The 26,675-nt window shown below is 42.8% G+C and overlaps 4 protein-coding genes and 1 long non-coding RNA gene across 34 annotated transcripts in view, besides 8 other annotated features; 3 read left to right on the top strand and 2 right to left on the bottom strand.

Moving 5' to 3' along the window:
* CFAP70 (cilia and flagella associated protein 70) overlaps nt 1-4,694 on the top strand; it is a 109,218-nt gene extending 104,524 nt beyond the window's left edge. For all 19 annotated transcript variants that reach the window (XM_047424551.1, XM_017015627.2, XM_017015621.2 and 16 more), the window contains 2 exons: nt 2,040-2,087; nt 4,401-4,694. In XM_047424551.1, coding sequence (XP_047280507.1) covers nt 2,040-2,087; nt 4,401-4,481 — 129 coding nt within the window. In that variant the 3' untranslated portion in view covers nt 4,482-4,694. The remainder of the gene's footprint in view (nt 1-2,039; nt 2,088-4,400) is intronic.
* Nucleotides 1-11,089, bottom strand: part of DNAJC9-AS1 (DNAJC9 and MRPS16 antisense RNA 1) — a 29,618-nt gene extending 18,529 nt beyond the window's left edge. Inside the window, exons 1-3 of one of the 4 annotated variants that reach the window (NR_134460.1) lie at nt 5,393-5,715; nt 5,202-5,265; nt 4,107-4,563 (exon numbers count right to left, since the gene is read on the bottom strand). This is a non-coding gene — a long non-coding RNA (DNAJC9 and MRPS16 antisense RNA 1). Of the gene's footprint in view, nt 1-4,106; nt 4,564-5,201; nt 5,266-5,360; nt 5,716-10,005; nt 10,164-11,072 lie in introns of those variants that run through there. The other 3 variants (NR_038373.1, NR_134459.1, NR_134458.1) reach the window with 3 other exon arrangements.
* Nucleotides 2,555-2,730: a silencer, noted in NCBI's record as "fragment chr10:75015484-75015659 (GRCh37/hg19 assembly coordinates)". NCBI's record gives its function as "represses an EF-1alpha promoter that drives an FKBP-Casp9 reporter gene in an ReSE screen in phorbol 12-myristate 13-acetate-treated (for megakaryocytic differentiation) K562 erythroleukemia cells {active_cell/tissue: K562(+PMA)}" and the evidence as "EXISTENCE:reporter gene assay evidence [ECO:0000049][PMID:32094911]".
* Nucleotides 5,417-5,676: an enhancer, noted in NCBI's record as "active region_3559". NCBI's record gives its function as "activates an Ori minimal core promoter by ATAC-STARR-seq in GM12878 lymphoblastoid cells {active_cell/tissue: GM12878}" and the evidence as "EXISTENCE:reporter gene assay evidence [ECO:0000049][PMID:35858748]".
* Nucleotides 5,417-6,093: a biological region, named in NCBI's record as "OCT4-NANOG-H3K27ac hESC enhancer GRCh37_chr10:75012121-75012688".
* Nucleotides 5,526-6,093: an enhancer, noted in NCBI's record as "OCT4-NANOG-H3K27ac hESC enhancer chr10:75012121-75012688 (GRCh37/hg19 assembly coordinates)". NCBI's record gives its function as "activates a minimal SCP1, AML or CMV promoter by ChIP-STARR-seq in naive H9 embryonic stem cells {active_cell/tissue: H9 hESC(naive)}" and the evidence as "EXISTENCE:reporter gene assay evidence [ECO:0000049][PMID:30033119]".
* Nucleotides 5,797-6,086: an enhancer, noted in NCBI's record as "active region_3558". NCBI's record gives its function as "activates an Ori minimal core promoter by ATAC-STARR-seq in GM12878 lymphoblastoid cells {active_cell/tissue: GM12878}" and the evidence as "EXISTENCE:reporter gene assay evidence [ECO:0000049][PMID:35858748]".
* On the top strand, nt 5,812-9,607 carry MRPS16 (mitochondrial ribosomal protein S16). 3 transcript variants are annotated; one of them, NM_001410935.1, is made up of 3 exons: nt 5,812-5,986; nt 6,433-6,693; nt 9,138-9,607. In NM_001410935.1, the coding sequence occupies exons 1-3, from the start codon at nt 5,974-5,976 to the stop codon at nt 9,161-9,163; spliced, it is 300 nt and encodes a 99-aa protein (NP_001397864.1). In that variant the 5' UTR covers nt 5,812-5,973; the 3' UTR covers nt 9,164-9,607. The 3 variants fall into 3 exon arrangements, with proteins under 3 accessions (NP_001397864.1, NP_057149.1, XP_047281219.1); NM_016065.4 differs by having other exon boundaries at nt 7,465-9,607; XM_047425263.1 differs by having other exon boundaries at nt 5,812-6,232; nt 7,465-9,607.
* Nucleotides 10,560-11,759: an enhancer, noted in NCBI's record as "CDK7 strongly-dependent group 2 enhancer chr10:75006455-75007654 (GRCh37/hg19 assembly coordinates)". NCBI's record gives its function as "activates an origin of replication core promoter dependent on BRD2, BRD4, P300/CBP, MED14 and CDK7 cofactors, with strong dependence on CDK7, by STARR-seq in HCT116 cells {active_cell/tissue: HCT116}" and the evidence as "EXISTENCE:reporter gene assay evidence [ECO:0000049][PMID:35650434]".
* Nucleotides 10,955-11,294: an enhancer, noted in NCBI's record as "active region_3557". NCBI's record gives its function as "activates an Ori minimal core promoter by ATAC-STARR-seq in GM12878 lymphoblastoid cells {active_cell/tissue: GM12878}" and the evidence as "EXISTENCE:reporter gene assay evidence [ECO:0000049][PMID:35858748]".
* DNAJC9 (DnaJ heat shock protein family (Hsp40) member C9) lies at nt 11,201-26,184 on the top strand. Of its 4 annotated transcripts, XR_007061950.1 has the most exons (7): nt 11,201-11,446; nt 11,628-11,768; nt 12,280-12,534; nt 14,527-14,613; nt 16,696-16,794; nt 23,539-23,666; nt 23,841-23,913. XR_007061950.1 is itself a non-coding variant. In XM_047424909.1 (6 exons), the coding sequence occupies exons 1-5, from the start codon at nt 11,267-11,269 to the stop codon at nt 16,747-16,749; spliced, it is 717 nt and encodes a 238-aa protein (XP_047280865.1). In that variant the 5' UTR covers nt 11,201-11,266; the 3' UTR covers nt 16,750-16,794; nt 23,539-26,184. The 4 variants fall into 4 exon arrangements, 3 of the variants coding, with proteins under 3 accessions (XP_047280865.1, XP_047280864.1, NP_056005.1); XM_047424909.1 differs by having other exon boundaries at nt 23,539-26,184; XM_047424908.1 differs by having other exon boundaries at nt 16,696-23,913.
* Nucleotides 11,495-11,644: a silencer, noted in NCBI's record as "silent region_2482". NCBI's record gives its function as "represses an Ori minimal core promoter by ATAC-STARR-seq in GM12878 lymphoblastoid cells {active_cell/tissue: GM12878}" and the evidence as "EXISTENCE:reporter gene assay evidence [ECO:0000049][PMID:35858748]".
* FAM149B1 (family with sequence similarity 149 member B1) overlaps nt 13,952-26,675 on the bottom strand; it is a 76,386-nt gene continuing 63,662 nt past the window's right edge. For 2 of the 4 annotated variants that reach the window (XM_005269744.3, XM_047425142.1), the window contains 3 exons: nt 25,293-25,517; nt 23,516-23,639; nt 23,004-23,263 (listed from right to left, as the gene is read on the bottom strand). In XM_005269744.3, coding sequence (XP_005269801.2) covers nt 23,129-23,263; nt 23,516-23,639; nt 25,293-25,517 — 484 coding nt within the window. In that variant the 3' untranslated portion in view covers nt 23,004-23,128. Of the gene's footprint in view, nt 17,511-19,071; nt 19,145-23,003; nt 23,264-23,515; nt 23,640-25,258; nt 25,518-26,675 lie in introns of those variants that run through there. The other 2 variants (NM_173348.2, XM_047425143.1) reach the window with 2 other exon arrangements.

Below are 26,675 nucleotides of genomic sequence, written 5' to 3'. Positions count from 1 at the left end.
CTCAGTTTACAAAGATGATGGGATTAAGAGATTAAAGTAAAGACAGGCATAGGAAATTATAAGAGTATTGATTGGGGAAGTGATAAATGTCCATGAAATCTTCACAATTTATGTTCAGAGATTGCAGTAAAGACAGGCATAAGAAATTATAAAAGTATTAATTTGGGGAACTAATAAATGTCCAAGAAATCTTCACAATTTATGTTCTTCTGCCATGGCTTCAGCCGGTCCCTCCGTTCAGTGTCCCTGACTTCCCACAACAAGCACTGATGAAGACTCTCATAATTGTAATTGGATGTAAATTGGCATAACCACTTTTAAGTACAATGTGGCATTATTTAGTTACATTCATATCTACAATTTGGCAATGTCATATCTAGATATAATCCTAAGAAAAATACAAGAAGACACATACAACATCTGTAATCCTAGCTACTCAGGAGGCTGAGGCAGGAGAATCGCTTGAACCCAGGGGGTGGAGGTTGCAGTGCTGAGACTGTGAGAGTGCTGAGATCGTGCCATTGCACTCCAGCCTGGGTGACAGAGCAAGACTCCGTCTCAAAAAAAAAAAAAAAAAAAGAAGGAAAAGGAGAAGAAGAAGAAATGTACAAGGATGTTTACTGCAGCAATGTTCATGATAGCAGAAAAATTATTTTTCAAAATTGTTTTGGCTATTCTGGATCCTGACATCATTTGGGCCTCTGCCTCCCTGTGGCAGGAGGGAAACAAAGTAATAGTGGTAGGAAAGGCAGGTGTGCTGGAAAATGCTGCTGGCAATTCAGTGAACTTCAGTTGGGAACATTTCAAAGTGTAGATTTGGAGGAAGTAAGGGTTTAGGGTGTGAAAGTTTTGTGAACCAGTAAAACTTTCATATGGACTAGCATTAATCAGAAAATTGGACTAGATATTCCCCAGGTCCCCTTCAGACACGAATATTCTGTGGTTCTTACATATTTAAGCTTTACCAAGTGACTTTGCATACTCTAAGTAACTATGTAGCAAACTCAAGAAGTAGAATAGTGGATTCATATTATCTCATTTAACTTCTGGAGGAGTGCTTCATGCAAAGAATAATATAAACTGGTGGGGAGTAGTTAATGTTCTTATCTCATATCCAGATCTTCATAGAAGTAATTCTGATACCTACTTTTTCTAATTCCTAGAGACAGAGTAATGTAGTAGTTAAAAACTTGGACTCTGGAGTCAAACTGCATTGTTTTAAACCTGGCTCCTCTACTTACTAGCTTCATAACCCTGGCAAGTTACTTATCCTCTCTGTAAATTGGGAATAATAAATAACAGTAGTTATCTCCTAGGTCTTGAGGATTAAGAATGAACTTAAATAAAGCACTAAAAACAACATCAATAATGAAAACAATGTAAATCACATAGTACGGAGTGGTAAGTGTTAATTATTATTAACAGAATGGCTTCAGTCCTAAGAGGAACAAATGACTCATGGTGCTTTCAAAAAGGTGAGAGGCCAAGTTATCTTTAAGCTTTTCAAAAGGAAGGAGGAATTTTTTTTCCTTTTTTTTTTTTTTTTTTTTTTTGAGATGGAGTCTCACTCTGTTGCCCAGGATGGAGTGCAGTGGCATGATGTCGGCTCACTGCAACCTCTGCCTCCTGGGTTCAAGCGATTCTCCTGCCTCAGCTCCCCTAGTAGCTGGGACTACAGGCGCATGCCACCACACCCGGCTAATTTTGTGTATTTTTATTAGAGACGGGGTTTCACCGTGTTAGCCAGGATGATCTCGATCTCCTGACCTTGTGATCCACCCACCTCGGTCTCCCAAAGTGCTGGGATTATGGGCATGAGCCACCACGCCTGGCCAGGAGGAATTTTTTAAAAAAAAAACCTTTTTCTCCCTACCACCTTTCATTTGCTAGTTTTTCCTCTCAATTCAGAAGTTCTTAACTGGAAGGTGTAGAAGCCTCTGCCTTAGGTGTAGGTGCCTCTGCCTTAGCTGAGGCAATGTATTTTCCTTACCATAATGTTTATGACCTGTCATCATCACCAACTGCTGCACTTTTTTCAGGTTGGACGGCAATTAGAAGCTGAGCAGGCCTACAAGTACATGATCAAGGTATGACACAGATGCCTCTGTCATTTGCCTGCCCCATGTTAAGGGTGGGAAATTAGGAGGGAGGTACTGGCTTAATTCAGGACTTTCATAATGTGAATATTTTTCTAGAGGCTTTTCTTACCATCTTTGCCATTATCGTGGGGCTGCTGGGTTTGTAATAACAACCTACATATTACCATAGGTGATCTTTCTTCCAGCTCTTTAGAGAGAATATATAATAGTTAATAGAAAGATAGCCTGGGAGTCAGTCAACCTGAATTATGATTCTGGTTTTGCCATTAACTTACTGTGTTAATAATATTGTGGGCTTCATTTTCCTCGTGTAATATGTAGGGGTTGGTCTAGTCTAGGGATCAGCAAACATTTTCTGTAAAGGGCAAAATAGGAAATTTTGGGGGATTTGTAGGCCAAACAGTCTGTTGCAACTACTAAACTCTGCACTTGTAGTACACAAGCAGCTATAGGTGATACATAAGTGAATGGCTGTGTTCCAATACAATTTTACTTACAAAAAAACAGGTAGTGGCCAGGCATGGTGGCTCACGCCTGTAATCCCAGCACTTTGGGAGGCTGAGGTGGGTAGATCACAAGGTCAAGAGATGGAGACCATCCTGGCTAACATGGTGAAACCCCGTCTCTACTAAAAATACAAAAAAATTAGCCGAGCGTCTTGGTGGGCACCTGTGGTCCCAGCTACTCTGGAGGCTGAGGCTCCGTCTCAAAAACAAACAAACAAACAAAAACAGGTAGTGAGCTGGATTGGCTCATGAACAACCCCTGGTCTGTTCTATCAGTTACATATACATATATATTTTGAGACAGAGTCTTGCACTGTTGCCCAGGCTGGAGTGCAGTAGCACGATCTCAGCTCACTGCAACCTCCACCTCCCGGTTCAAGTGATTCTTGTGCCTCAGCCTCCCAAGTAGCTGGGATTACAGGTATGTGCTACCATGCCCAGCTGAATTTTTTTTTTGAGATGGAGTCTTGCTCTGTCTCCCAGGCTGGAGTGCAGTGGCGCAATCTCCACTCACTGCAAGCTCCGCCTCCCGGGTTCAGGCCATTCTCCGCTTCAGCCTCCTGAGTAGCTGGGACTACAGCCGCCCGCCACTGCCCCCAGCTAATTTTTTGTATTTTTAGTAGATAGGGTATCACCGTGTTAGCCAGGATGGTCTTGATCTCCTGACCTTGTGATCCCCCCGCCTCGGCCTCCCAAAGTACTGGGATTATAAGCGTGAGCCACCACGCCTGGCCAAATTTTTGTATTTTTCATAGAGACAGGGTTTTGCTATGTTGGCCAGGCTGGTCTCAAACTCCTGGTCTCAAGTGATCCGCCCACTTCAGCCTCCCAAACTGTTGGAATTACAGGTGGGGGCCAACATGCCTGGCCTGTTCTATTAGTTATGAATTGCAAGTAACTTGACTTGAAAGACAGTGGTTTAAACAAATTAGTTTTTTCTCATCTAATGAAAAGTCCAGGGCTCGTACCGCAGCTCCACAATGTCATCAGGGACCCAAAATCTATCTTTGTGCTCCACCAATTGTAGCCTGCAGTTTCTATCCCTCATAGTTGCAAGACAGCCAGCGTAGCTTACTATCATATTCATGTTTCAGGCAAGATAAAGAACAATAAGGGGAAAAGGAAAAAGGGGCCATGCTACTTCAGTTCCCTTTAAAGGACTTTCCCTAAATAAAGGGCTTCTCCAGGTGTCCTACCCAATGACTTTAGTTTACATTTCATTGGGTGGCAATTGGTCATGACTACCTCTAGCTGCATGGGAAGCAGGAAAATGTGGCTTTTTAGCTGACTGCATTACTGCCTTGAAAAGAAATTAAGATTTTGTTAGTAAGAAAAAATAGGTATTCTGTAGGCTCCTAGATGTCTCTACTACATATCTAGATTCTAAAACTAAAACCAGATCTAATATAAGCCTATGATTTCTGTCTCTGATTCCCTGATATCACTTGCCAGATGGGAATACTATGCATTAGCCAAGAGATGCTGGTAATAATGTGAACACTTTTTAAAAATAAAAAAAGTAAATTTTAATGAAGTTATCTTACAAAAAAATGTACAAATCATGACCGTGCATAGTGCTTGATGAATTTTCACAAAGTAAACATATCCATGTAACCAGGACAAGGTTCTAAGGTCTTCTACTGGAGTTTTCATGAAGTAGGGAAATAGGAAGAGCCAATTCCATCCCAGGGAACTATGTTCTTTAGCCGTAGCCCCACAAAAGAGGGGTCTTCAAAGCCACATAAAGTATATCACGTATGACATATATCTTTCCCTTTCTTCCTCTTTCATGTAGCTGAAATTGAAAGATGAGGCTCTGCTTGCAGAGATCCACACACTACAGGAAACAGTTGGCTTTGGAAATCCATCTTTCTGATACCCCTCCAGCTGAACAATTTTCTGCATGGGACTCTGAGTTCCTTTCCTTCCCAGAGAGTTTTACCGTATGAAGCCTGGAGCTGGAGAACGAAAGAATCTTCACTATAAACAGAGACCCATTCATTTATTTCCATTGGCTGTGTTACTGGATGTTTTACTGGTTGACGAGAAACTGGGTCACAATAAAAAAATGGAGATATGAAACTCAAAATTCATCAGCATGGTTCTGGAGTTAACGTATACTGAGTTACATGTAGGTATTTAGTTATATAAATAACTATAGTGTAATTGCTATAATAATTATATGGCATATATATACATACAATAAAATTAAGGTATAGTGGGGTCATTATTAGGGTTTCTGATGAAAGCTTATTGGATCACTCCTGGAGGAAGTCAGGTGCTAAGGTTTCTGGACAGGTTCAGTTAACTGAAATACAGGAATTAAGGCATCATTTTCAAAGGTGGCCCTGGAGGAAGACTGCTATGCTGGGTCACTGTATTAGGGCAAAGAGCATGCTAGCCCTTTGGAACTAACAGTAAACGAAAAAGCTGAACAGAGAGGTCTTTGCTGAAGGTGGAGCTATTGACACCTTCTCACCAAACACAGGCATCTTCATGGATCTAAACCACTAGGGCTCCAAGGAGACACCGTTACCCTCATCACCGAGGTCATATTCTAGGGCTACAGATAAAAAAAAAAAAAATCATACTTCACCTCTGCCCTGGATCACAGCACGGCAAAAGCAGGAATAACCCCTCCTTTTTTTTTTAAGGTGTGACTGCCTCGATAGGGGTGGGACGACAACAGGAGAAAAGGTGAGAGGTAAATTAATTTTGGTTAACGAGAAGGATAAAGTAAAATCTAGTCACTTACAATCCTTCTCCTAGTCTCGGCCCTGACACTACCTCCTCTGTGAAGTCTTCCTTAGCAAGCACTAGGTTTGCCTTCTCTGCTCGCTGTCCTTGCGCTGAGTACTACTGATCGCGCTAGTTTCTCTGCTGTCATCTCACGGTCTCCCCAGCGGACTGTGAGCTCCACGAGGAAAGAACAGCGCCCTTTAGTATTTGCGTTCTCAGCGTTGCGCCTCGGCACCAACGCTTGCAAGATGGATGGCTTTTGTAGCACTTTCCTTGGCGCGCCTGGGATTCGCCTAAAACTTCTGACTCCAGCAGGGACTCACAAGTCTGAGAGGGATCGCACCGCCACTCCCACAAGACACCACGAGAAACGCCTCTTTTGCAGCAGTTTAAGGTACGTTAGGGGTCACCGTGTTGCATTGTGGGAAGTATAGGGCGGCAAGCGGAGGAGGCGTGGCGAGCGGATCATCCGCTTCCGGAGTCGAGGTTTTCGGGCTTGTACCGCTTGGCGGTGCGGCCTGGTGTCGGCTTGCAGGTTCTTTCTGTGTTTGTTCTCTGCCCTGCCAAGGCCGTAGAGCTGGTGCGTGCGGGTAGCGGGGCTCTCCGAGGAGCCGCACGCCGGCGGCACCATGGTCCACCTCAGTGAGTCATCGGGCCACCGCGAGACGTTCCGGGCGGTCACGGGGCTCGGGAGTTCGGGGCCGGGTGGGGAGAGCTCTCCCAGGCGCGATGGAGGCAACCCGAACCTGAAGCAGCCACACTGCCTTACATTTGATCCTTCTCTCAGTTTTTTCCCCACTTAATCACCGCTGAAAAATTTCCACCCCATTGAAGCAGCTAAGGCTCCGACAAGGTCACAGAGCCTAGTGAATGGCAAGCCCATGCGGGGTGGGTTTGGGTATGAGGAGGAGGTCATTGCTGGCTGGACTGGCCAAGAGGGGTTTCACAAAGAAGAGTAGCATCTAAACTGGATTGACAGGAATGGATTGGAAGTGAGACATTTCAGTGGGAAAAGGGAATTGTGCCGTCTGTGTCATTTTGTCCTTTTTGTGCTGTTTTTTGTGTCCTAACCAGCTGCTTTTCTACAGCTACTCTCCTCTGCAAGGCCTACCGTGGGGGCCACTTAACCATCCGCCTTGCCCTGGGTGGCTGCACCAATCGGCCGTTCTACCGCATTGTGGCTGCTCACAACAAGTGTCCCAGGGATGGCCGTTTCGTAGAGCAGCTGGGCTCCTATGATCCATTGCCCAACAGTCATGGAGAAAAACTCGTTGCCCTCAACCTAGACAGGATCCGTCATTGGATTGGCTGCGGGGCCCACCTCTCTAAGCCTATGGAAAAGCTTCTGGGTAACTCAGCTCTGGTCTTACCTTATTGAGGGGATTTTAAACTGAAGTCAGCTCCAGGACAGTAGGTGTAAGAATGATTTTCGGCTGGGCACGGTGGCTCACGCCTGTAATCTCAGCGCTTTGGGAGGCCGAGGCGGGCGGATCACCTGAGGTCAAGAGTTTGAGACCAGAGTGGCCAACATGGTGAAACGCTGTCTCTACTAAAAATAAAAAAAAAAAATTAGTTGGGCGTGGTGACACGCACCTGTAGTCTCAGCTACTGGGGAGGCTGAGGCAGGAGAATCGCTTGAACCCAGGAGGCGGAGGTTGCAGTGAGCCAAGATCGCGTCACTGCACTCCAGTCTGGGCAACAGAGGGCGATTCCATCTCAAAGAAAAAAAAAAAAGAGTTATTTCATTCCCTCTAGGCTGTTCAGGACTGAAGTGGGAGCTGAAGTTGTGATCTAATTGGCATTTTGAATCTGGAGGCCCCTTTTGTGGACTCCTTTGTAAGACTTTGGGTGACTGGTATTTTATGCTAAAAATAGGAATAGTATGTTTTGAATGGCCATCTGTCAGTTTACGTTTTTTAAAGTAAGGGGAATATTGTTAGGGAAGTAGACATCCACTGTCTCCTTGCCGGGGAGAAGTAGTACAGAGTTTGGCAAGTGAGGAGCATGGTTTGCATCCATGCACTGGGTCAGATCTCAGACCTCAGTTCTGTGAGACAGAGTTCCTAGGGAAGCATTGGCTTATACTGTGTTATAATAAGTGAAAAATCTGTTACTTTTAGGTCTTGCTGGCTTTTTCCCTCTGCATCCTATGATGATCACAAATGCTGAGAGACTGCGAAGGAAACGGGCACGTGAAGTCCTGTTAGCTTCTCAGAAAACAGATGCAGAAGCTACAGATACAGAGGCTACAGAAACATAAATGAGCTGACTTTAGTGAGCATAGCAGTGGGAACAAGGTCAAGGTCCTTTTGAAACACTGCAGCGATCTTAATTTTGTTAGATTTGGAGTTCAATAAATGGAGTATCCTGAGTTGCCCTTGCTCTTCTGGCCTGGCCTGCACAGGGCCCAGGGAGAGATTTGTTCTTGTGTGACTTAGAGCTGGGTGTGGGTACTAATTAGCTTTTTTCGACTTTGTCTTGGGATAGACAGTGGCTATGGGAGGATTGGACTTTTGAGTTGGGCTCTGGGTCTCTTGGACAACTTTACAATTTACTGGCTTCCAAGACTTCCTGCTTCAAAACCCCCAGCCAGACTATTCATGGCCCATTCAGATCTTCATGTTCATCCCACAAGTGCAAGAACAGTTAACCTTTCTTAATTGATTTTTGTAATTGGAGGTTTATATTGTCTTGCCTAATGCATATTCTCTTTTTTTTTTTTTTTTTGAGACGGAGTCTTGTTCTGTTGCCAGGCTGGAGTGCGGTGGTGCAATCTCAGCTCACTGCAATCTCCACCTCCTGGGTTCAAGAGGTTCTCCTGCCTCAGCCTCCTGAGTAGCCGGGGAGCTACAAGCATGCACCACCACACCCAGCTAATTTTTTTTTTTTTTTTGAGAGGAGTCTCGCTCTGTCGCCCAGGCTTGAGTGCAGTGGCGCGATCTCGGCTCACTGCAAGCTCTGTCTCCTGGGTTCATGCCATTCTCCTGCTTCAGCCTCCCGAGTAGTCCCAGGAGTAGCTGGGACTACAGGTGCCCACCACCACACCCAGCTAATTTTTTTGTATTTTTAGTAGAGATGGGGTTTCACCATGTTATCCAGGATGGTTTTGATCTCCTGACCTCGTGATCCGCCCGCCTTGGCCTCCCAAAAGTGCTGGGATTATAGGCGTGAGCCACCGCCCGGGCAAATTTTTGTATTTTTAGTAGAGATGGGGTTTCACCGTGTTGGCCAGGATGGTCTCAATCTGACCTTGTGATCTGCCCACCTCGGCCTCCCAAAGTGCTAGGATTACTGGCGTGAGCCACCACTCCTAGCCTTAATGCATATTCTTAAATATACAAAGGTAGATTTGTTATGAAAATTGCTTTGGGGCTCTAATAACCTACCTTTTAAGAATGAGAAACTGCTGGGCTTAAGGGAGTTCAGTATGAATCAAGATTGAACCATTCAAATGTGGCTGTGATTTCTGCATATATCATAGATGGGATCCTTCTGAGAATACTGGAATAGGGAATTAGGACACCAAGCCAATTCAGCTGTGAACCTTATTCTTGTACTTTTCTTTCTTGCTGGTAATTTTATGGAGCAGGTTAAGAAGGCTGCTCTGTGTTAGGATAAACTGTATACCAATAATGTTGACAACCTGTAATGAGTGTTGCATTTTACTTCTTGTATCTTTTCCTTCCTACCTTGATGCCAGTAATCTATAAGGGATCTTTATAGTTTGAATGTATTTGAATAACTTCAGTATACTTTAGTTCTACTTTTTTATTTGACTCACAACCATTCTTAGGTCTCAAGTATTCCCATGTGTTTTAAAAGCCTGAAGTCAGTGAGATGAAATTCAACATCAAGAATTTGAAGTAACTTGTAAGGAAAAATAATATAAAGATACCATTGGGGCAGTGGCTCACACCTGTAATCTCAGCACTTTGGGAGGCTGAGGTGGAAGGATCACTTGAAGCCAGAGTTTGAGACCAGCCTGTGCAACACAGCAAGACCCCGTCTCTACAAAAACTTAAAAAATTAGCTGGCTGTGGTGTTGCTCACCCATAGTTCCAGCTACTCGGGAAGCTGAGGCAGTAAGATCACTTGAGCCCAGGAGGCCGATGCTGCAGTGAACTGTGATTGTTCCACTACAGTCCAGCCTGGGTGACAGAGAAAAGAAAAAGAAAACATTACATAATTTGGCTAGAGCATAATAATTTGATTTTCTGGTTTTTGAAAATTTGAGTTGCAATAAAAGGATATTTCAGTGTGCGATTTCAATTTTCCGTAGCAAATGTATATATAGAAAAATGTTAAAATAGATGTATTTGAATACCTTAAAAAATACAAGAAACTGGAAGAAAGATAATATTGCAAAGCATCTACATATATCCTAGGCCTTTTGTGTACAAGGTTATTTGTGACAATTGTAAGGTATTATGAAGGCAGGTAGGATTATCTCCGTTTTACAGATAGGGAAGCTGAGGCCTAGAGGTGGAAACTTGCCCAGTGATGTAAGATTCATCTCCCGGTTATGCCCTCCTGGAAAGCCCTTCCCAACATATTATGTTGTCCATAGAGGGAAAAATGAGCAAAGACAGATGGCTTAACTCTGGTGTGTGACTAAGATATAGGAAATTTATAGAGGAGGTTCTATCAATGTGCCGACTTACTTTGTGTTTTATGTTCTGAGAACGATTACCAGCCATCTCAAATTCTGTGGTTGTCAAAGCTCCCCTGGGGTTGTTGCTGGTTGGCCCCCACTTGCTTTGAGACTTTGATGCCAGGGCAGGTTGAGAGGAACTGACTTCAGCTGAGTTTGATCTTGGATCTGGGAAAGAGAAATGCTTTGAAAATCACGGCAACTCTGGGAAGTTTAAAAGATATTAATGTATCCTGGAGAGTTTGAGGCTTTGCAGAAACTTATTGGCAGAGCAGAATGATTCTGAAAAATGCTACATCAGTGAGGGGATATTTGATAAGGTATTTTCTGCCAACTCGGGTATTCACTTAGCATTGTTTATCCTTTAAGATATGTATACACATACTTCCTCTGTGAGTTTACCCTACTAACAAAGTTTTATCCCCAGCCTCAACCTTGCTTTGGGTCTCCAGGCCCAAGTTTCTCACCATCTCTTGGATGATTGCTCCAGCCCACTCTGCTGCCACCTGGGATCCAACATGTTCAAACCCAGCTGTGAACTTCACAGAGTATTAAAAGAAAGAGCCTTTGCTTCAGCAGTTTATGTTATTAAGACGGAGGCTTGGGTCATGTTATCTCTCTCCACCAATGTGTAAGGTGAAAGTCCTATTAGGTAAGAGTTTTTGGAAGACCCGTGTTTTGTGCTTTTTGGGTTTCAGTATAGGGTTTTTTCCTACAGGGCTAGAGGGAAAGTACCCCAGCATTTCCAACCAGTGGGGTGCAAAATTATTTGGGTCTACAGCTTTACCTATTCCTTTCAAGAACATTTTTGAAAAAACACATCTGTTAAGTTGAACCATGTGTAACTGCTGAATGCTGATGTTTGGCCGTTTTCTACTTAAAAAAATAGGCCAGCAGTTTGTAAATTCAAGCTAATATATGAACTTTTTGAAAAAGTTGTTCTTGGACACTAAAAGGTAAGACGGACGCCAGATTTCCAGAGCAAGGGGAGGAGAGACCCGAGCAACATCACTTCCCTGAAGACCTAGCTCCTGCGCGCGGCCGGGGACTGTGACTCCACATGCCGGCGTTACTTACCCGGGCCCGCGCCTGACTCGCCACACCTCATTTTGCGGCCGCCGTAAAGCGCGGATGCGCGGCGTGGCCACGCCCCTTCAGTGCTTGTGACGCAGGCGCCCTGGGCTTTTTGGGCGCGAAAAAGAAGCAGTCCTGGGTTGTACCCGGCGCAGCTGGGAGCGGCTGCTTCCTCCGGGGTCGTATCTCCGCCCGGCATGGGGCTGCTGGACCTTTGCGAGGAAGTGTTCGGCACCGCCGACCTTTACCGGGTGCTGGGCGTGCGACGCGAGGCCTCCGACGGCGAGGTCCGACGAGGCTACCACAAGGTGTCCCTGCAGGTACACCCGGACCGGGTGGGTGAGGGCGACAAGGAGGACGCCACCCGCCGCTTCCAGGTATGCAGGGTCCCGCCCCGAAGCCGACCGGCTGCGCGGGCCTCCCCCTAGCCTTTTGGCTACCGGGCCCCGCCCCGGGGGAGCGCGCTGAGCTCCGCTTGGCGCCTTCTGATCTTTATTTCTCGCGCCGCCGTTTCGGTGGGAGGAGCAGGGGTGATTTACGGATACTCTTTGCCCTCAGATCCTGGGAAAAGTCTATTCCGTTCTCAGTGACAGAGAACAGAGAGCAGTGTACGATGAGCAGGGAACAGTGGACGAGGACTCTCCTGTGCTCACCCAAGACCGAGACTGGGAGGCGTATTGGCGGCTACTCTTTAAAAAGGTAAAGGACTCTGGAGGTTTCTTTGTGACTGTTACCATCATTCAATCAACAAACCTTTATTGACTGCCTCTAAGATCTTGTATTTTGTGTTAATTTTGTAGGAATTAGGAATTTTGAGTTTGGCCTTGAAATACAGATACACGCACGCTTACTGAAACGGGCTTTAAATTTCCTGTTAATGTGATTGTTGCACTGAAAAGGGCCGATTTATTTTTTTTGCCGGATGCGCTTTATTTTACATATCCAAATGTAAGTCCTGATTCCGGATCACCTCTCACTCTTGGAAATTTCACTTAAATTTCCCTTCCCTGGTCCCTAGTTAGCAGTTAATGAAGATTGGATTTAAAAAGGAGGACTCCGGAGAAGCTTAGGCATAGAAAATCTGGTTCAATAATTTCAACTCAAGCAACTGTTGTATTGCAGCAATTCAACACCCAACTCTAGTTTTACTAACGTACGTTTTATTTAAAGTAAAATTCCCAAAGTTAAAGCAAATCTCCTTTATCATCAGATATCTTTAGAGGACATTCAAGCTTTTGAAAAGACATACAAAGGTTCGGAAGAAGAGCTGGCTGATATTAAGCAGGCCTATCTGGACTTCAAGGGTGACATGGATCAGATCATGGAGTCTGTGCTTTGCGTGCAGTACACAGAGGAACCCAGGATAAGGAATATCATTCAGCAAGCTATTGACGCCGGAGAGGTCCCATCCTATAATGCCTTTGTCAAAGAATCGAAACAAAAGATGAATGCAAGGAAAAGGAGGGTAAGATTTTGAATACTGTGGATTTATATTTTGACTGCTTCCAAAAAGGATTTGAGAGTATTTACAGCAGTAGAAGTAAACATAAAACTCCAGAAATAAGGACTAGGGTTAACTTGGTCTATAGTTTCGATCTAATAAAATGGGCATACCAGTTCATCAAGAGAAACTTTTTCTAGCATGTTGTGCTCAAGATGATTTTTATTGCATAGATTGTTTAAATATTACCATAGTAAAGTAGCACTGAAATATTTTTTCATGTAGGCCAATTCTTGTAGCATTCCTGAGGCATTCCTCAGGAGATAAAGTTAGTGGAACCCGGGTACACAGGATGGGCAGTGATCCTTACTCGGTTGAGGGGGTAAGAAGAGAATGGCAGACACCGTCTTGTTAAAAGTGCAGATGTTTGGGCCTTTGCCCCGAATTTGATTCTTGAGTTGGATACAGAATTTTTCTTTTCTTTTTTTTTTTTTTAAAGAAAAACTTTAGCTTAGCGGTCCCCAGCCTTTTTGATACCAGGTACCTGTTTTGTGGAAGACAGTTTTTCCAGTGACAGTGGGGGTGAGGAGAGTTGGGGGGGTGGTTCAGGATGAAACCTTAGATCATCGGGCGTTAGATTCTCTTAAGGAGCACACAACTTTTAGGACCACTGCTGCCTTCCTGAGTGCCCTCAGGAACTTTTCTGCAGCTTTTACATAAGAGACGCTGGCAGAGAGAAAGCTGACCTTTTTGTTTCCGGTGAAAATTTGAAGGGCCTGTTTTGCCTAGATAAGAGGCTGCACCCTTTCTGGTGAGCTTGAGGGGAACGGTGGAGTGTATATCAAGACCATTTTGGTTCATAGGCTACATCTGCTAAGACTCAAGCTGACAATTATCTTAAGTCGTTCATCATTTCCTGAGATGAAACTGAGCACAGCTGCATTCACAGTAGACTGTTAGCTTGAGAAACTTCCCTAGAATTTGAGGAGAAAATGGCATAGTTTTGATAGACTGTTCAACAAACCTTAGGGGGATGCTGAATTTAAAGAGAGAATTTGAATACAAGGAAACGGTGTCTTATTGGGATAGGGGGTCCTAATGTATCATCATCCTCAGTATTAATAGCATTAATTGCTACTTAGAAAATTCACAAGGGGTGTTGGGGCCTCTTATAGTTGTTGCCCTAAGGTGTTCTTGTGATATTTTGTAAACAATGCTCTAGGAACACTTGGCAAAGGAAGGCTGCTTTGAAATTAGGTAAATAGATGTTAAAACTGAGTTTATTGATGTTGGTTCTTCTGACTACTGGGGAGAAGTCATTTTAAACTGGGGTTGTTCACAAGGCACCACCAGTCCCATGGAGTAAATTGGGTTTCCAGGAGAGAAATTGGAAATACCTGTATCCTGGCAATTGCATCATTTGCCTTTTTTTTTTTTTTTTCTCTTTTTTCTAAGAGATGGCATCTCCATCACCCAGGCTGGAGTGCAGAGGCATGATCACAGCTTATTGCAGCCTGAACTCTCAGACTGAAGCCATCTTCCCACCTCAGCCTCCCTAGTAGCTGGGACTACAAGCACATGCCACCACACCAGGCTCATTTCTTTTCTTTTTTATAGAACTGAGGTCTCACTATGTTACCCAGGCAGGTCTTGAACTCCTGAGTTCAAGTGATCCTCCCACCTTGGCCTCCCAAGGTATGGGGATTACAGTTGTGAGCCACCATACCCGGCCTCATGTTCCTTTTTATCATCATGTGATTTATGAGTGCCAGAGTACTTACTACCTCTAGCAAATAGAATTGGGTAAAAAACAAATGGTAATTGGAATCAGAGGATCTACTGCTTGCTGTCAGCATTGTTGCCATTTAATGAATGACATAGTTATGTAATTCGATTCATTTTGTCTATTCATATATTCATAAAATTGAAACAGAATTATAGATTTGCTTTTGGGAAAGAGTATGTATTTTAAGCATTTCCTGGTGGCCCTGAGTCTCATGTGAGTTCCTGTTTCAGGCTCAGGAAGAGGCCAAAGAAGCAGAAATGAGCAGAAAGGAGTTGGGGCTTGATGAAGGCGTGGATAGCCTGAAGGCAGCCATTCAGGTAAACTTGGCAGTTTGTTGCCACATCTTTAATGATCTGATTCCTACTGCTAATATTTTCTTTGGAATGTTGTATTTTGTTTTCTTCTTTTAAGACATAACCGCATACCTTCTATTTGTCCTTTTAAAGTGTACAATTTGGTGGTTTTAAGTGTATTTACAAAGTTTTACAATTATTAACACCAATTGTAGGACATTTTCACCATTCCAAAAAAACTCCATACCCATTAGTAGTTATTCCACTTTTCCAGCCCCTGGCAACCACTAGGTACTTTCTGTCTATGGATAATGTTGTGAAAGCTTGTGTTTTAACTTCTCAAACAGAGCAGACAAAAGGATCGGCAAAAGGAAATGGACAATTTTCTGGCTCAGATGGAAGCAAAGTACTGCAAATCTTCCAAAGGAGGAGGGAAAAAATCTGCTCTCAAGAAAGAAAAGAAATAATGGAATTTTTCTCTTCAAAGGTCCTTAGGTGTAAATTGATGCCATCGTAGGCAAGGTGCAGGCAGGATTTGAAGGCAAAAGTCAATTCAGCTCTTGAGAAAAGGTGTCTTTCCAGCCTGAATTTTTCAGATTGACTAGACCAAGCAGAATCTCTCAACCTGATCTTAGTATTTCCTAGAAAGCACTTGACATTGTGTGAGGTCTCACCTGAAGGAACTTGGTGGTGACATTTGGGAGGGTGGAGGGAGGCAGTGTCCTTCCTGACAGCACTTGCCTCCATGGATCTTCTGTACACAGAACTCTTATCTAGGATGTGGTTCTGTTCATGCTGCTTTCTGCGATGTGCGTGTCTGTTAGAATAGGCTCTCTACCCAGCTAGAACACCTTCCAGACACTTGCTGGACAGCTATCTTCCACATACTTCCCAGTTTACATTTGGTCTTAATGATCTTGAATAGATCCTCTCTTCATTTTACTCAGCCAGGTTTTGTACTGATGTACAGGTGTTAAATTACTTCAAGCATTTTTGTAAGAGGTGTATATAATTCAATAAAAAAGGTAAAACATGATGATTAAGTTCTGGGGGCTTTGTAAATGATCCCACTAAAATGTGACCTAGGAAAAATATGAATGGTGTTTAGGATGAGAGAAAAGGGGAAAACAATAGCCCTGGTCAGCTTTATAATAGAGAGCCTGGTTTCCCTAGCATGAAGAGATGTATGTTGTAGTCCTGCCACTGATTACTGAAGTCCTGCCATTAATTGCTGAATGTCTTCAGTTGGGCCACTGAGCTTGTCTGAATCTGTTCCCTTTTATAAAAGAGTTACTACATCAAAACAAAGAGTGAAATCCAAATTTGTCAAACTGTATGTATTAAACATGTCCAGTTTTTTGGTTAAAAAAAAATTGCACTGGCTTTGAGGGAAAACACACAGGGTGAGGGAATTGGGCTAAATGACTTCTTACAGGCCCCTTTCTGATTCTTTAACTTTGAAAGGCAAGCCATATTGATCCAGTTGTTATAGTGAACTCATGGTAATGGTTTGTGAGAACAATAGAGATTTTCATTTCTATGTAGATGAGTTGGTATGAGAATATATGGAATTTTTAAGGGACTGTTTAAATCTTTGATTTGTAGACTATTAAATATACCGTATGCATAAAGTAAGCCTTTAGCTCTAAGGTAAAGACGACACGTTTTCGGTTTGTGACTACAAATAGGTTAAAAATAGATTTTAATTTTATTAAAAATATAATTTAATGCAGGTTGTTTGAAGCATCTGTCTTCATATGATGGCATTAGAACACCTTGGTATAATAAAAAGTTACCGTAATTTATGATTATTTGAATTTATCCATTCTGAAAATTAATAAGATCTAAAACTGGCATGACAATCAAGATTTGTATTTAGTGAAATTTAAAATAAATGTAAGCCATAGTTAAAACTGTTGCTGCATTCATGAATGCCCTTAGGAAAAGGTCCACAGTAAAATCAGAAAGCTGAACCTCTCCTGCTGTTTATAGGATATGTTTATGCTGAATTAATTGCCAGGGTTTCTTAAACTTTTAGGGAATTATACTTTGGTGGCTCAATAGTAGATTCTACAAATTATTTTTAAATTGATTTCCTTTCCTTAGAGCTGCAGGAGAATATCTGGCAAGGTGCATTTAATATTTGGAAAAAAGATATGACCAGTAACCTACTTTAGGAAGAAAATAAGCATCACCTGGCATCAGGTAGGCATCGTAAGGTTGAGCTGTCCTATCTGAAAAAATATGCGATATAATTTATTACAGAAGTTACTTTATACTAATGCTTAACATTTATGTTTTTAGTTACACACCCCTTCCATTTTAATCTGCTGATAGGGTAGGACATCTAAAGAGAGTTTTAGGAATGACATCTATTTGATGAGGTCAGATTTTCAACAGCAAAATGACTTAAAACTGAGTACAACTCTCCAGAAATGAACACAGGCTGAAGTATTCTGAAGCCAGTGATATTGTCACTGATGATTTGCTGCTTTTTGTGTATGTGTGAGCTCATCAAATCCTATATGATTGAACTGATCATTGTTAAGAGATAACATGAGCAGTGATTTGGGTATTATTCACTGTTGCATCTTTGGGTACAAACTTGCCTTTCCAATGGGATAGGTTAATTTCTGCTGAAAGAGACAGTAACTGGAGATAGAAACAACACTCATGTCATTTTTGGCTGCTATGGTGTTTTGTTCTTCGGTCACTTGTGCCAAAATCACTCTTCATGAAGATGATTTCTAGTCGATCTTCTATACAAGCTCTGCATCACTTGATGACTGAATACTGCTTCATGAAATCTCGTGTTTCCTGCAGCCTGATAGATTCTTCTCATTTGCCTTATGGTCCCTGCCTGGTTCGAGAGACTGGTCTGCCTCCGCTTTGAGATTTTGTAGACCCATGTAACTGAGGACCTGTCAGATGACATAGAGTAACATTAGTAGACAGTCTAGGTTTGATAATCACTCTCAAGTTTATAGCTAAGGGCTTTTTTGCTCCAATTATGAATTGGACTTTCTTAAGGTATGAAAGCAGTAAACTAGTTTTGTAGAAGAGCCCACTAATTAAAAAGAAGCAAGATGTCTGATTTACTCACTTCCACTTCAGTGTTACATAAGTTATACCTGAGGTTTTTTTTTTTTTTTGGAGGTGGAGTCTCACTCTGTCCCCCCAGGCTGGAGGTGCAGTGGCATGATCTCGGCTCACTGCAAGCTCTGCCTCCCAGGTTCACCTCATTCTCCTGCCTCAGTCCCCCGAGTAGCTGGGACTACAGGCATCTGCCACCACACCCGGCTAATTTTTTGTATTTTTAGTAGAGATGGGGTTTCACCATGTTAGCCAGGATGGTCTCAATATGCTGACCTCGTGATCCGCCCGCCTTGGCCTCCGAAAGTGCTGGGATTACAGGCATGAGCCACCACGCCCAGCCAGTTATACCTGACTTTCAATGTGGCTGAAATTGTAGCTCAAATGCAGATCTGAAAGCATAATCTGACAAAAGCATTCAAAGACTACCAGACAATGCTGCGGGGAACTGAGCTGAGAAATCACTTGGACTACAAAGATGGTTTGAGGCAGACTAGTTTTTTACCATAGTTGCTGATTATTTTGATCATTAACAGGAAACATCTCAGCTGTCCATTACTTCTAAATTTACCTTCAGCATAATAAGAATGACCCTGATGGTGGTGAGAAGACTGTCACAGGAAGAATTAAGACATCCTGCAGCCTGGGCAACATAGCAAGACCCTGTCTCTACAAAAAATAAATTACCTGGGCATGGTGGCACTGCTTGTAGCCCTAGCTATGTGGGAGGCTTAGGTGGGAGGATCCCTTGAGCCCCGGAGTTCGAGGCTACAGTGAGCCATGATCATGCCACTGCATTCTGGCCTGATCAGCAGAGTGAGACTGTCTCAAAAAAGACATCCCTCAATTTTCTCCCATCACTTCTTTGTTAGTACATCTACAGAGTATAATTTAAAGATAAAAAGAGTTAATGCGATAGAATCAGACTCAGCATATCCTGATGGTTTAGAATTTCTTTTCTTACCTTGGCCTAACAGATTAACTGATCAAAGCAGTTTAATCCATAGGAATATGGATTTTGCCTGCATAATAAAATCCATGCTATGTTCTTAAAGAATATTTTGAACATTACAACAAGGACTAATTTGGGTTGAACTTTTTAGATTTAAAAAAAAAAAAAAGGCAGTTTACCAAAGTAGTGAGAAGTTAATTTACATGGTATGAAGAAAATAGGAATCTGAAACTTTTTGGCTCTGAGCAATAGAACTCTCCTAGCTTTTTATTATACCCCATGTTCCAAAATGAATTTTAGGTGATTTACAAAGATGTGGGAAAACATTAAATCCAAGAAAATCTGAAAGAAGGGGAAATAGGTGTAGGAAAAAAGACAAAGGCTGGGTCTTAACACAACCACACAGTAGTAAATAAGGGCCATGGCCCCACCTTTACCTGCAGATCCCCTGCCAGGTCGGGCCTGATGAGGATACTCAACTGCACATGAGCGACGATACTGTGTATCCAGCTACAAGACAAAAGAGGAGACACTTCTTATGATGCATCTTCTCACAAAGGATAATATTTTAGCAGGTTCACAGGAACACCTTGAAATCAACAGTGGTAAAAGGCATAGACTACCAACTTGAGGGAAAAGTCAGCTGAGTGCACTGGGTTGAATTTCAAGTAGAAAATCCCAAGCCAGATGCCCACAAAGCCATTTATTGTAAAAATTGCAGATTCTTCAATATTATTACTATGCCGTTAAGGAAATCAGGAGTTATAAATAATCCATATGGTTTAATATTTCAGTTAGTTCTAAGGGGGTTCGTCTCATTTCTTTTTGTTGGCTGCTGCATATATTTTAAATGAATGCTTTCATTTAAAACAACCAGCCTTTTCAGCAACATTGAAATACTTATGACTTTACCACCATATCGAAATTTAACTTTACATTTACTTTTTAGCATTATGAAATGCAAATATTTCACAGTTACCTCAAGGAATTAAAAAATGTAGAGATACGACTACAATATTAAAATGCAAATATCAAATAAAGCTATATATGACATCCTGCTGGGGCTTCTGGAATAAAAACATCCCCCAGTAGTTCCCTTGAGAGAGCACTGAAATCAAGAGATTTCAGGAAGCTTTTTCTGGTGAAGCCCCTATATTTTAGAGATCAGGGGTCAGCAAACTTATTTTTTGCAAAGGGCCAGATAGTTATTATATTAGGCTTTGTGGACCATAGGGTGGTTGTTGCAATTACTCAGCTTCGCTGTTATGGTATGAAGGCAGCCATAGATAGCACATAAATGAGCTTGGTGGCACTGCTCCAATAAAAGTTTATTTACAAAACAAGGCGGTAGGCCAAGTGAGTAGCCCAGGAACTGTAGTTTACTGGCCCCTATTCTAGATGAAAACAGCAAGGAGCAAAGTGCTAGTCTGTAGTGCCAGGCCCAGGACAGCTAGCATTCTTTTTTTTGTGGGGGGACAGAGTCTTCTCGCTCTGTCGCCCAGGTTGGAGTGCAATGGCACGATCTCGGCTCACTGCAACCTCTGCCTCCTGGGCTCAAGCAATTCTCCTGCCTTAGCCTCCCGAGTAGCTGGGATTACAGGCATGCACCACCATGCCTGGCTAATTTTCTTGTATTTTTAATAGAAACGGGTTTCACCATGTTAACCAGGCTGGTCTCAAACTCCTGACTTCAGGTGATCTGCCCACCTCAGCCTCCCAAAATGCTGGGATTACAGGTGTAAGCCACTGCAGCCGGCTCACAGCTAGCATTCCTAATAAACTAAACAACTAGCTATCTCCCTTTTTATGACAGCAAATGGGGAGAGAAATGGTAAGTAATTTTTACTTTTTTTTTAATAAACTTAAAGAGAAGACTGAAACATTTTCATCTGTTCAGTTTTATTCCTAAGGCAATCAAAAATTAAATGTTTTTAGCCAGGTGCAGAGGTGCACACCTGTAATCCCAGCTACTTGGGAGGCTGCGGTGGGAGGATCACTTGAGCCCAGGAGTTTGAGGCTGCAGTGTGCTGATTGCACCACTACACTCCAGCCTGGGTGATGTAGCGAGATACTTTGTCTCTTAAAAAAAATGAAATGTTTGGCTGAGAGCGGTGGCTCACGCCTGTAATCCCAGCACTTTGGGAGGCCAAGGTAGGTGGATCACTTGGGGTCAGAAGTTCAAGACCAGCCTGGGCAACTTGGAGAAACACTGTCTTTACTAAAAGAATACAAAAATTAGCTGGGCATGGTGGCAGGTGCCTGTAGTCCCAGCTACTCAGGAGGCTGAGGCAGGAGAATCGATTGAACCCAGGAGGAGGTGGAGGCTGCAGTGAGCTGAGATTGCACCACAGCACTCTAGCCTGGGCGACAGAGTAAGACTCCGTCTCAAAAAAAAAAAAAGTTTCAGAGAATCTAGCTGTGTAATATAATCATCAAGTACTACTTAATAAATGTCCTGTGTCAGATTATAAGAAGGCAAATTCAGTAGAAGTTCTCAAACTTTCTGGGGTTCACACTGAACCCCAAGAATCAGAAATGCTCATGTTTCCTTTTCTTGTTTTTGGTGAGTTTCTCCCTAAGTCAGCCTCGTGGGGTCTACTAGAATGAACAGTGTTCCCTCAAAATTTATGTCCACCTGGAACTTGTGAATGTGACCAAGTTTGGAAATAGGGTCTTTGCAGATAAATCAAGTTAAGGTAAAGTCGCACTAGATTAGGGTGGGCCCTAAATTCAGCGACTGGTATCTTATAAGAAGAGGGAACCCTGGACACAGACACACAGGGAGGAAAGCCATGTAAAGACAGAGGCAGGCTGGGCATGTGGCTCATGCCTGTAGTCCCAGCACTTTGGGAGGCTGAGGTGGGAGGATCACTTGAACCTCGGAGTTTGAGACCAGTCTGGCCAACATAGTGACACCCTATCTCTACAAAATAAAAAAATTAGCAGGGCATGGTGGCATGTGCCTGTAGTCCCAGCTACTCAGGAGGCTGAGGTGAGATGATCACTTAAGCCCAGGAGGTTGAGGCTGCAGTGAGCTGTGCTCTGCACTCCAGCCTGGGCAACAGAGTGAGACCCTGTCTTAAAAAAAAAAAAAAAGAAAAGAAAAAAAAGGCCGGGTACAGTGGCTCACACCTATAATCACAGCACTTTGGGAGGCTGAGGTGGGCAGATAATGAGGTCAGGAGTTCGAGACCAGCCTGGCCAAGATGGCAAAACCCCATCTCTAGTAAAATTACAAAAATTAGCTGGGCGTGGTGGCAGGCACCTGTAGTCCCAGCTATTCGGGAGGCTGAGGCAGGAGAATCACATGAACCCAGTAGGCAGAGGTTGCAGTGAGCTGAGATTGCGCCATTACACTCCACCCTAGGTGACAGAGCGAGACTCCGTCTCAAAAAAAAAAAAAAAAAAGGCAGAAATTGGGAGTGATGCAGCTGCAAGCCAAGGAACACCAGGGATCACAGGTGGCCACCAGAATCCAGGAAGAGACAAAAAGATTCTTCCCTAGACCTTGCAAAGGGAGCATAGCTCTGTTGACACCTTGATTTTGAACTTCTCGCCTCTGGAACTGTGAGGAAAAAATTTCTGCTGTTTTAAGGCACCCAGTTGTTTGGTCATTTCTTAAGCCCTAGGAAACTAATACAGAGGTCTGATATTGATTATCCTTACCACTCTTCTCATAGAAGAAAAACTTTGCAGTGCTTTAGCCTGCTGTGGTTCAAGGGTCATGAGTTGGGACAAGTGTGCTGCAAACACTACCATCCTGAAAACTGTCAGGATGTGGGGTCCCTGGTTACTTCCCCAGGCTCTCCAAGTGCTCTTGCCACAAAGCAGATTATGTGGGGTCGAGCTCCCAGCCTACAAATGGGGAGGGTCAGTGCATGACCCCATTGCTGATCAGGTTTTTTCTATTACTTAAAAGGGCTAGTAAATGCCTAATAAATGGTAGGCAGTGTCAGCATTTAAAACACCAGTAGAAAGAAAAAGTCCTAAGCTGGGTACAGTGGTGTGCACCTGTAGTCCCAGCTACTCGGGAGGCTAAGGCAGGATTGCTTGAGCCCAGGAGTTCCAGGTCTAGTCTGGGCAACATGGCAAGAGCCTGCTTCTGAAAAAAATTTTTTATTAAAGTCCCAACTCACTCATCCACCAGGACTCATCATAATCTGAGACCACTTTTGATGTAATTCCAGAAGAACAGGATTACATAATAAAGTTATGCTTATCTGATGTGTACTGGGATTTAATATTCTTGCTTGTGGTCAGACATATCTTAAGTGTTAAATTGCTTAGAATATTTGTGATTTCTGTATAAGGCATTAAAGAATAGGCATCAGGGACTAGTTAGAATTTGAACAAAATGTATTTATAACACTTTTTATTGTTGGAAACTCAACTTTTATTCTGGGTTAAGCCTCTAGATAAAATCTTAAGTCTGCCAAACTATTATTCCCCCCACCTTTTCTTTCCCCAACTATCAAGACCATTCTAGGAAGTACGTCACTCTACCAAAAATGATTGAGTTGTGTTGGGCCTGGGGAAAAAGTCGGGCAAAAGGAGCCTTTCTTGTGGCTGCTGATAGTTAGGTTCATCCACCACCGCACTTTGAGCTCGACTAGAGTCGCCATGGGGTTTCTGCAGAGGAGACAAAAGTTACAGAAACAGTGAAAACTATCTGTAATGTGGTATGTAGTTAAAACCCTATCGACCATGGCAGATATGGTAAGTGCAGGCCAAACAGCTCCAATTCCACGTCATAAATTAGCACTGTGTTTGTACTTTTGACAAAACACAGTATAAATCAAGATCAGGGCACAGATCCTGCAGAATTACTGCCCATTAGGTTGTATGGTAAGTACATGGAGAGGCAATATGAAAGAAACATACCATCTGTCTTTGTGGCCCCACAGTGCTCACATGTTCCACTTCAGCTGTGCCAATAGGTGGTAGCAGATTATTTCGACTCAGGGGCGTCGGTGAGGGAGAGGAGAGCGAGTCGGGTGCCACTGGGCTGCAGATCCCACCAACAAACACGAAGGTATGAAAGCATGAAGTTATAACAATACCAGCAAATTGATTAGAAATCAGATAAATGAAGCAGATGAGTTTAATGTGCACAGAAAGCTTTAGGCTACCTATGTTTTCAAGTAGAGATCTCAGGATTTTTGGAAAATTAGTTTTTAAAATAGTGTTTTCTGATTTTGTTTTGAAGCTCTATACTCTGGGTACACAACAGAAGCTGGCCTTTTCTCTCCCACAGAACTGGAATAAAACATTTGTCCCTATCTGGTATTGCACTTCTCTGCTGATTTGGATTTGTAAATTCCCAGCTGATGATGGAATTCTTGACAGTTCTGGACCTTCTGGTTATCGTTTTCCCTAATAACTATAGTTCTCGGGTAAAGTTCCTAAACCTTCATTCCCTTCAGTAGGATCTGGAGCAGCTTGCAGTATTCCTTATCCTTAAGACAGTAATTGAAACTGAATGATACTTTCATGTCCCAGAAGTAACAAAGCAACTTACTTTTCAACTTTGAAAAAAAGTACTGTCAGAAGGAATGAGAGATTAATTATACATCAAGACTACTCATCCCCAAATGAATGCATTTATAGCTCTGTTGGTATAGATATAGCTACATCCACATAATAATGCTTAACTTGGAAGCCGCATTGAAAACACTGCTGTGGCCTTATTATCTCATACCTTTGAGGATATTTTTAGAAATTAATCATCCTAAGACATTTTGTGAATCAACAGCTAAAAGAATTCTATGTTTAAAATTGGCTCCTAGGTATTTTTGCATGATGAGGCTCAGAGTGTGTAGTGAATGAAGGGTGGGAAAGGCGATTACTTTTAGTGTCACTTCCTAGGAAGTGCTAAGGGATATTTTTGCTGGTATGTAAGCAACTACTTATCTGAGGTTTATGAAGTTTTCATTGTCAATGGAATAAGCAGATCCCAATGGTACAGAAGAACCTTAAAGGGGAATTAACTATTATTTTGGAGTGAATTTCACTGAATATGTTCCCAGCACGGAAAATGTTTGATTAAATAAATAGGTTCTTTATTCCTTTTGTAACCCCAATATAGTATTCTAGCCAACATTTTATTTTTACAAATAGAACTCTTTAGCTAGATCAACAGAAAGATTCAATATCTATTTCATTAAAATTATTTAACCCCTGCTGGGTGCGGTGGTTCACACCTGTAATCTCAGCACTTTAGGAGACTGAGGCAGGCAGATTGCTTGAGCTCAGGAATTTGAAACCAGCCTGGGCAACATGACAAGACCCCTGTCTCTACTAAAAACACAAAAAGTTAACCTGGCATGGTGGCACCACCCGCCTGTGGTCCCGGCTACTTGAGAGGCTGGGGTGGGAGAACCACTTGAGCCCAGAAGTTGAGGCTGCAGTGAGCCATGATCATCCACTGCACTCCAGCCTGGGCGACAGGAGTGAGACTGTATCTAAAAAAATAAAATAAAATAAAATTTAACCACATTAAAAAATTTTGTGTTGGATCTAAACCCATGGGCAATCTGTCATAAGACTACTTAATGATTAGTTTCTAGGCATAGATTTCAGTCTTATATTTAAATTAATTCTGTATGTAAAATGTGTTAGTTTTACCACGGTTTCCAGAAGTTCTGCTTTTGAAACCTACACTCGGGCTCCTCTGAGGATTTCTTCCACAGATCTTGGTGTTTCAGCACATGAATGGCTCGTGCTGATCGGATGAAGAGTTCGTGGTGGTGGATTGCGTCTCCTGGTGGACTGCACTGTGTATGACAGAGATGATGTACTAAACTCCACAGCTCGATTTGGCCAATTTCGAGTTGAAAGGATGGTACTGGACCCAGGCCTCATAAGTAGCTTGTCATCAAGATCTCTAGTAGCCAAATCAGAAACCCACAATGAAGTAAAGATCAGTATGTCAAGGAAGACAAGACTAACGGGGTAAAAAGCCTTAGACTAGAAACTACATTTAGGGGGAAATAAAGCAAAAATAAAAACCTTTCAATAAGTAACACTAGTTTCCAGATGGTACTCTAGCTCAGGCATGAGAATCTGTTCTTAAAAGTGGGACATTATTTCAATCATAAACATAATTTACTAGAATGGACATTTGGCAAAGCAAGTCCATTATCCACCTGCCATCACAGTCACTTTTTTAGTCACCAGTGAAGGCAAGCCTGAAGGACACCTACTCCAAAGTGCTTCCCAAAAATTTGCCACAGGGGCTGATTCCTACTCTGTTTGAGGCATTCTTTTGTGCTGAAAGATTGTCACCAGAAAGACAACTGAAAGACAAATATTGCTGCTTGGGAGCAGTTGTGGCACCAGTGTGGCTCCCACTGTAGCAATTAAAGTGCTGAGCAAGTTGGAGCTGGCAGGGATTTGGGTTTGGGTTCTTTGGAAAGCTGGGAGTGGGCAAAGGGTCTTGTGCTGCCCAGAGCCAGAGCTGTTGGGACCACAGTAGCCCTATTTGCATAAATAACTGAAATACAACCCTTTTCTGTAAGTCGTCCAATAAATAAAATAATACCACACCTAAACAGTTCAGTAGCTTAAATACTGCCCTACAGATTCAGGTGTGTATTTTTTTTTCTTTTAAAGCAAGTGAGAGGACATTTGACTATTTTAAGACATCTAAGAGTATCCGCACAATTAAATGGAAGAGAAGTGAAAGAATAACGCAGCTAAGCTCTGCCATTTGCTCCTATAGCTTTCAGCAAGTTCCTCAACCTTTCAGGCCACTTTGGTGTCCTCTAGTGCAAAACATGGCACCGTGCTTGGAGGACTTTGAAGGGATGCTGCCCATCAAGGAACAGGGCTAAACCTGGAGACTGTTCTGGTCTTCCTGCCTCTCTAGCAATTCACTTATGCCTTTTTTTTTTTTTTAACACACCCTAACTGCTTTCTAATTACAAAATGTTTAGGCTTTAGCTGCCCTATGTTCACCTTTATTTTGTTCTATGAACTTCTGGATTTGATTGTCTTCTCTAGCCAGGTGACTTTTAGATTGGTCTCTAGATCCGACCTCTTC

This window comes from Homo sapiens, chromosome 10, assembly GCF_000001405.40.
Source record: "Homo sapiens chromosome 10, GRCh38.p14 Primary Assembly".
NCBI classification, from domain to species: domain Eukaryota; kingdom Metazoa; phylum Chordata; class Mammalia; order Primates; family Hominidae; genus Homo; species Homo sapiens.
This window is presented reverse-complemented; position numbering and strand designations above follow the sequence as displayed.

Bases quoted from the DNA above. Each gene is read 5' to 3' on its own strand.
- MRPS16 (NM_016065.4), top strand. The intron at 6,694-7,464 runs GTAACTCAGCTC...TGTTACTTTTAG, and splicing joins GCCTATGGAAAAGCTTCTGG to GTCTTGCTGGCTTTTTCCCT.
- DNAJC9 (NM_015190.5), top strand. From the start codon at position 11,267: ATGGGGCTGCTGGACCTTTGCGAGGAAGTGTTCGGCACCGCCGACCTT. The intron at 11,769-12,279 runs GTAAAGGACTCT...CTTTATCATCAG, and splicing joins GGCGGCTACTCTTTAAAAAG to ATATCTTTAGAGGACATTCA. The intron at 14,614-14,936 runs GTAAACTTGGCA...CTTCTCAAACAG, and splicing joins GCCTGAAGGCAGCCATTCAG to AGCAGACAAAAGGATCGGCA.